At 49.9% G+C, this 8,108-nt stretch overlaps 1 protein-coding gene across 21 annotated transcripts in view; it reads left to right on the top strand.

Annotated features, from left to right (window-relative positions):
• Nucleotides 1–8,108, top strand: part of TNRC6C (trinucleotide repeat containing adaptor 6C) — a 151,279-nt gene that overhangs the window by 138,820 nt on the left and 4,351 nt on the right. For 8 of the 21 annotated variants that reach the window (NM_001142640.2, XM_006721996.5, XM_006721997.5 and 5 more), the window contains 4 exons: nt 1,369–1,485; nt 1,967–2,161; nt 6,098–6,168; nt 7,038–7,177. In NM_001142640.2, the coding sequence (NP_001136112.2) occupies nt 1,369–1,485; nt 1,967–2,161; nt 6,098–6,168; nt 7,038–7,177 (523 nt within the window). Of the gene's footprint in view, nt 1–1,308; nt 1,486–1,966; nt 2,162–6,097; nt 6,169–7,037; nt 7,178–8,108 lie in introns of all 21 variants that reach the window. The other 13 variants (NM_001395512.1, NM_001395509.1, NM_001395510.1 and 10 more) reach the window with 2 other exon arrangements.

Raw genomic sequence — 8,108 nt, forward strand, 5'->3', positions numbered from 1 at the left:
TGTGTGACAAACCTGCACATGGACTCCCTGAACCCAAAATAAAAATTGGAAAAAATAAAAGTGAAGACCTGCAGATTACCCATAAATGTTAACTTGCCTCAGCTCTGGTGCCCTCATTCTAAAGAGGTCCCTTGCAGCAGGGCAGCTGCAAACAGCTGTGCAGGTTGGACACTGCACGTGTCCAGGAGGTGCCACACACCTGGTTATTCACTGCACAACGCCATGTGGGCCTACGGCTGAGATGCCATGGCTTTTCAGAAACCGTCCGATTCTGTTTATGGTCATCAGTTTAGCAGCCAGACTGTGCTCATGTTCCCTCTGCTAGCCAGGATACGTGCACTGGCAGAGTCATTGTCCCAATTAGAGCTCTTTCCATCCTGTGTTCACCCCAACTGTCACCATTATTCCATCCTCGCTCTTCTTCTCCAGCTTCTTGCTTTCTTCACAGAATTGAAAGGGAGAGCCACATTAGAAAATATGAAATAAAACCAAGCAGCGAGGAGCTGAGCTTTTACACAAGGGATTGAGGTGCCTTAAGGATGGCCCATTTATCCTAAGTCTCCCTTTCAGGCACAGGGACAAGCTTTCCTCAAAAAACTACAGTCCTAGGGATAGAATAACTCAAGTCCATATACACAGTTATTAGGACAGATGTCTCTTAATTATTCCTGTATTTAAAAAGGGAATCATGAGCCGGGTGTGGTGGCATGCACCTGTGGTCCCTGTGACTCCGGAGGCTGAGGCAAGAGGATCACTGAGCCCAGGAGGTTGAGGCTGCTGTGCACTGTGATCATGCCTGTGAACAGCCACTGTGCTGCAGCCTGGGTGACATTGCAACAGCCCCATCTCTTAAAAAAAAATTTTTTTTAAGCAAAATATGAGTGTAAGCTGATGGGACACCCCAGTCAGAAGAAATACTCAAATTTTTATGGCAAATTTTGTAATAAAAGGCTTGGAGTTTTGTTCTTCCATTTTGTGGCCATTGTTTGAACTGTGAAAGGATGTAGATTGCCCTGGATTTTTATTTTACCTTATTTGGGAGAGGAAATCAGTGTGGTCCTTTAAAACTCTTAAAACATGGTATTTTAAGCATTCTGGCGGGAATTCTCAAAGAAGCTCATGCTGCTTCTTGCCCTTTGATTCCTCTGCCTTCAGCAACATCCCAGGCCTCCCTGAGTGGGTACAGGGACCCAGAGTAGGAGGCATGCCCCGTTTCTTCTTTCCCACATGTCACTTTCATGTTCAGGCTTCTATTAAAAATGGCAGCCTAGGGAGAGGTTGATTCCTGATGGTTCTCACACCCCACAGTTAGAGTCATGAACCCGGACACCGCCACCACCTTGCTCAGTGCCGTGTTTGGTTCTGCAGGGTCCTCCCCGCCATCATCTCAGAATGCCACGCTGCCTTCTTCGAGTGCCTGGCCACTCAGTGCCTCCGGCTACAGTAGCTCTTTCAGCAGCATTGCATCCGCACCTAGTGTTGCAGGTACGCGCCTGGCCTCTAGACTTGCAGGTAGCATTTTCTTTCTTTTCCCAAACAAAACTTTGACAGGCCCCAGCTTTTCCTATTGGCTCTTTACTCACTCCCTGAGCTGGGAGGCCGTGTGGCGTGATGAAGGATGGGTGGGGGCCTTGCCCAGGCACAGTGGGCACGCTGGGCACATCAGCTTGCACGCACATGGAAGTGGTAACGTCTTCTCCATACAAGTGTGTGGGCCCACTGCCTTCTCTCTTCCTTTCCCCCATGGCCACAAGACAAGGGCTCTGCAAGGTTTTGAAAACTTAGAGGCAAAACACTTCTGGGAATTTGTGGTTACTTGAGTTTGCCAGGGGCTTGACTTGGTGTTTCTTTGCCTATCACACAGTCTGCTGGTGTTAGAGAGCACTCTGTGTGGCTCCCCAAACACAGCAGTGAGTTTTCTTCTTTGTCTCAAGACTGCATATGCTCCATCTCTCTGCCTTTCTAGGTAAACTGTCAGACATCAAATCGACGTGGTCCTCTGGCCCTACCTCCCACACGCAAGCCTCTCTGTCTCATGAACTATGGAAGGTGCCCAGAAACAGTACTGCACCCACGAGGCCACCTCCAGGGTTAACCAATCCCAAGCCCTCCTCCACCTGGGGTGCCAGCCCCCTCGGCTGGACCAGCTCCTACTCCTCGGGTAAGCTCCATGCTCCTCGTGTTCCGATGGGGGCCTTACCCTTTAGGGGATGTGCTTATCACTTTGTCCTGTACCTCCTTTGTAAGGACCCCTGCCTGTAACTCTGGAGCCTGGGAGGGCTTAGGAGGGCACCAGGGCCACCCTAGATGTCCATCCAGGGCAGTAGCTGGGTGAGCCTGGTGTTTTTAGCATCAGCCTAGGTGTGCCGGCACGCAGCAGGTTTGCTCTGGGCCAAGAGGTCCCAGGCAGTTCCAGCACCCATTGAGGGCCCACACTGGCCAATTCTATCCTCAGGAGTGTGGCTGCCCCACACTGGGCCATCAGAGGCCTGCACAGCGCTTTAGGCTCTCTGCCCCCATGACTCCCCTTCGCACAGGGATCTGGATTTCTGCTTTTTATATTTGCTTCTCCACAAGATGTCACTGGGACGTAAGGCTTTTGCAGGCCCAAAACAAAACAAACCCCACCAGTTTGAAAAAACAACTCTCATAATATTGCAGCTTCTCTCAGGTGCTGCATGTCGAACCTCAGAGATGAAAGAAATGTACTGGGAATTTAGGAAACTGAAGATTTACACCAGCGTGGGCAACAAAGTGAGACCCCATCTCCACAAAAAATAAATTAGTGGGGCATAGTGGCACATACCTGTGATCCCAACTGCTGGGGAGGCTGAGACAGGAGGATGGCTCAAGCCCAGGAGATTGAGGCTACAGTGAGCTATGCTTGAGCCACTGCACTCCAGCCTGGGTGTAATAATAATAAATAACAAAATTTTTAAAATCAGCTACAGATAGTGTATTAGTCCATTTTCACACTGCTGATGAAGACATACCCGAGACTGGGCAATTTATAAAAGAATGAGATTTATTGGACTTACAGTTCCATGTGTCTGGGGAGGCCTCACAATCCTGGTAGAAGGTGAAAGGCATGTCTCACATGGCAGCAGACAAGAAGAGAGAGAGAGCTTGTGCAGGGAAACTCCCATTTTTAAAACCATCAGCTCTCATGAGACTTACTCACTATCACGAGAACAGCATGGAAAAGACCTGCCCCCATGATTCAGTTAACCTCCCACTGGGTTCCTTCACGAAACATGGGAATTGTGGGAGTTACAATTCAAGATGAGATTTGGGTGGGGACACAGCCAAACCATATCATTCTGCCCCTGACCCCTCCCAAATCTCATGTCCTCACATTTCAAAACCAATCATGCCTTCCCAGCAGTCCCCTAAAGTCTTAACTCATTTCAGCATTAACTCAGAAGTCCACAGTCCAAAGTCTCATCTGAGGTAAGGCAAGTCCCTTCCACCTACAAGCCTGTAAAATCAAAAGCAACTTAGTTACTTCCTAGATACAATGGGGGTACAGGCATTGGGTAAATACAGTCATTCCAAATGGGAGAAATTGGCCAAAACAGAGGGGCTCAGGCCCCATGCAAGACCAAAATCCAGCAGGGCAGTCAAATCTCAAAGCTCCAAAATGATCTTTGACTTCATATCTCGCATCTGGGTCATGCTTAGGCAAGAGGTTGGTTACCATGGTCTTGGGCAGCTCTGCAGGGTACAGCCTCCCTCTTGGCTGTCTTCACGGGCTGGTATTGTCTGCAGCTTTTCCAGGCACACGGTGCAAGCTGTCAGTGGATCTACCATTCTGGGGTCTAGAGGACGGTGACCTTCTTCTCATAGCTCTACTAGGTGGTGCCCCAGTAGGGACTTTGTGTGGGGGCTCCAACCCCACATTTCCCTTCCACACTGCCCTAGCAGAGGTTGTCCATGAGAGCCCTGCCCCACAGCAAAGTATTGTCTGAACATCCAGGCATTTCCGTATATCCTCTGAAATCTAGGTGGAGGTTCCCAAACCTCAGTTCTTCACTTCTGTGCACCCAGAGTCTCAACACCACGTGGAAGCTGCCAAGGCTTGGAGATTGCTCCCTCTGAAGCCATGGCCCAAACTGTACCTTGGCCCCTTTCAGTCACAACTGGAGCGGCTGGGACACAAGGCACCAAATTCCTAAACTGCACACAGCATGTGGACCCTGGGCCTGGCCCATGAAGCCATTTTTTCCTTGTAGGCCTCTGGGCCTGTGATGGGAGGGGCTTCTCTGAAGACCTCTGACATGCTCTAGAGACAGTCTCCATTTTCCCCATTGTCTTAGGGATTAACATGCAGCTCCTCGTTACTTAGGCAAATTTCTGCACCCAGCTTGAATTTTTCCTCAGAAAATGGGATTTCCTTTTTTTTTTTTTTTTTTTTTTGAGATGGAGTTTCACTCTTGTCACCCAGGCCGGAGTACAGTGGCGTGATCTCGGCTCACTGCAACCTCTGCCTCCCAGGTTCAAGTGATTCTCCTGTCTCAGCCTCCCGAGTAGCTGGGACTACAGGTGCCTGCCACCATGCCCAGCTAATTTTTGTATTTTTAGTAGAGATGGGGTTTCCCCATGTTGGCCAGGCTGGTCTCAAACTCCTGACCTCCCGTAATCCACCCATCTCAGCCTCCCAAAATGCTGGGATTACAGGCGTGAGCCACCGTGCCTGGCCAATTTTCTGAACTTTCATGTTCGACTTTCCTTATAAAACGGAATGCTTTTAGCAGCACCCAAGTCACCTCTTGAAGGCTTTGCTGCTTAGAAATTTCTTCTGCCAGATACCCTCAATCATCCCTCTCAAGTTGAAAGCTCCACAAATCTCTAGGGCAGGGGCAAAATGCCGCCAGTCTCTTTGCTAAAACAACAAGAGCCACCTTTGCCCCAGTTCCCAACAAGTTCCTCATTTCCATCTGAGACCGCTGCAGCCTGGACTTTATTGTCCATATCCTTATCAGCAATTTGTCAAAGCCATTTCACAAGTCTCTAGGAAGTTCCAAACTTTCCCACATTCTCCCGTCTATTTCTGAGCCTTGAGTTCCAACCTCTGCCTGTTACCCAGTTCCAAAGTTGCTTCCGTGCCAAGACCAGCTTGATCAGGGAGACCCTAACCCAGAGGCACTAGAGGAATTAAAGACACACACACAGAAATAGAGCGGTGTGAAGTGGGAAATCGGGGGTCTCACAGCCTTCAGAGCTGAGAGCCCTAAACAGAGATTTACCCACGTATTTATTAACAGCAAGTCAGTCATTAGCATTGTTTCCGTAGATACTAGATTAACTACAAGTATCCCTTATGGGAGATAAAGGGATGGGTTTGGCTAGTTATCTGCAACAGGAGCATATCCTTAAGGCACAGATCGCTCGTGCTACTGTTTGTGGTTTAAGAACGCCTTTAAGCAGTCTTCCGCCCTGGGTGGGCCTGGTGTTCCTTGCCCTCATTCCGGTACACCCACAACCTTCCAGCATGGGCGTCATGGCCATCATGAACATGTCACAGTGCTGCAGAGAGTTTTTTTTATGGCCAGTTTTGGGGCCAGTTTAATGGCCAGATTTTGGGGTGGGGGTGGGAATCACGGGAGTTACAATTCAAGATGAGATTTGGATGGGGACACAGCCAAACCGTATCAGATAGTTGGAAAGTAATGGTTTCTGCCTTTTAGCGGCAGCCTTCAGGGATTTGCTCTGTTGTATTAACCAGAAGAACCTGGGAGCACTGATTCCACACCGGGTCTGGGGACAGGCAGAGGTGGAGAGCAGAGCTTCCCTGGAGATTCTCGGGCCTCATCACCCCCGTCTCTCCTGGCACAGATGGGAAAACACAGGCCTCCCGGGCTGGTGGGAAGATCCAAAAAGTCAGAGTCACCACGGGGAAGTGGGAAGGGGGTCTGCAGGGACTGTGAGGTTTTGGTTTACCAAAGATAGCATGGGCCTCCCAGGCTGAGAAAGGCTTTCCTAAAGCACGCAGTGACGGCCTGTGCTGTCCCACACTTCAGCACAATAAGAAGTGGGGAGGGCCGCACTATCCACTGGCACGGGGCCTTGTCAACCAGGTTCTCCCCTCTTGTTGCAGGTTCTGCCTGGAGCACCGACACCTCAGGAAGAACCAGCAGCTGGCTCGTTCTTCGAAACCTCACTCCCCAGGTGCAATATGGTGCCCCTGCATCACTGAGCATGATCCAGGGAGGGTTCCCGCTTGGCCCCCAATGCAGATGAGGCTGTCTGGTGGGGCAGGATAGTTGGGGGTTCTTGGTCAGGGTCCATAAGTGACGCTGCATGGGAGGAGATGAGCAAGTGCCAGGATTGGCTCCAGCAGCGGCAGCAGATGGGGCCCAGGGGCCTCTTTTAACCATGTTCCTGGTGAATTGTTTGTTTCCCCACCAGAGGCTGGAAAAGTGTGCTCTGTAAATAGAATTGTTTATTTTACAACTAGCCATTCAAGAGTGGTTGGGCCTGGCTGGGCGCAGTAGCTCATGCCTGTAATCCCAGCACTTTGGGAGGCCGAGGCCAGGGATCACCTGAGCCCAAGAGTTGGAGACCAGCCTGGGCAACATAGCAAGACCCCATGTGTGTATTTTTATAACATTTTTTAAAAGAGTCGTTTGGCCACATCAGACTGTGGGGCTAGCCAGTCCCTTCCCGGGACCCAGGCCACACCCACCTGCACGTCTCCCAAGTCTGTTGTCAGCAGCTGGACCCAGGTGCCTTTTGCAAACCAGAGGCTCTGTGCGACGTGCTCTGGTGAAAGGAGAGCAGAATTCAAAATGGGGTTTTTCTCCTTCCTCTGATTAGCCTAACTTATAAAATGTAACTGAAGCATCCAAGTTTTTAGTTACACGTTTGGCCACAGAGATATAAAACGTTAATGTTGTAAAACCACATATTATTAGGCCTTTTAAAGAAAAACATTCCTAGTGTTTAGTGTATCCAATTTCATACGTTTTTTCTTTGGAAGGCTGTAGTGAAAGAAATCAGAAGAAAGCTCATTCATGTCCCTGTGCTTCCTCTATCAGATTGATGGTTCTACACTGCGGACATTGTGTTTGCAACATGGGCCTCTTATCACATTCCACCTGAATCTGACTCAAGGCAATGCTGTGGTCCGGTACAGCTCCAAGGAGGAGGCTGCCAAGGCCCAGAAGTCTCTGCACATGTATGTTTTCTCACAGCCACCTCAGCGCTCCAAGTAGCTCCCCATCCCCCAGAGCATTAGGTTAGGGGTGTTGCAGGGGTGTCCTGAGCCACCATAGCAGAATCCCACAGGCTGGCCACCCTCCCACTTCTGGAGGCTGGAAGTCTGATACCCAAGATGAAGGTGTGGGCAGGGCTGGTTTCTCCTGAGGCCTCTCTCCTTGGCTGTAGACAGCTGCCTTCTCCCTCTGTTCTTATATGGTCGTCTCTTTGTGCATGTCTGTGCCGTAATCTCTCCTTATAAGGACACCAGTCCTGTTGGACTAGGGCCTACCCATGTGACCTCATCTAACTAACTTAATTCCCGCCTTAAAGACCCCATCTCCAAACGTAGTCACATGGGGAGGTACTGGGTGTTAGGACTTCAACAAAGGAATTGGGGAAAGGCGACACAGGTCAGTTCCTCACAGGTATCTTGGGACTTACTGGTTTTTTTCTGCTGCTGAGTTGCTGTGTCTACTCCCTCCCTGTGACACATTCCTACACAGGGCCCAGCAGTGGTCCTCACAGCCAACCCTTCACCCTAGTGAAAGGTTGCTTTTGATAGAAGTACGAGTAGACCTGATCAGTAACATCACTTGAGACGTTGGAACCTAGAAATTAGTCATTCCTGTTTTTAGCCCAGGATGCAAATGACACTGACCCTAAACGAGCCCACATTTAATGATCTGTTCACGCACTTGAAGATGTACTCTGTGTACCAGTACGATGTTGCCACTAGAAGTCTGAACTGAGCAAAACATTCACAGTCTGGGTTTGGAAATAGCAGTGGCAAAACAGAAGCCACAGGATGGCTTCCATGTGGGGCCGTTCCCAATACAGAGAAAGCCAGTGCCACGAACTCAGCAGGACTTGGGGTGGCCCTGTTCACGTGCCCCATCTTGCTGTTGCAG

Source organism: Homo sapiens, chromosome 17 (genome assembly GCF_000001405.40).
Source record: "Homo sapiens chromosome 17, GRCh38.p14 Primary Assembly".
Taxonomy (NCBI): Eukaryota; Metazoa; Chordata; class Mammalia; order Primates; family Hominidae; genus Homo; species Homo sapiens.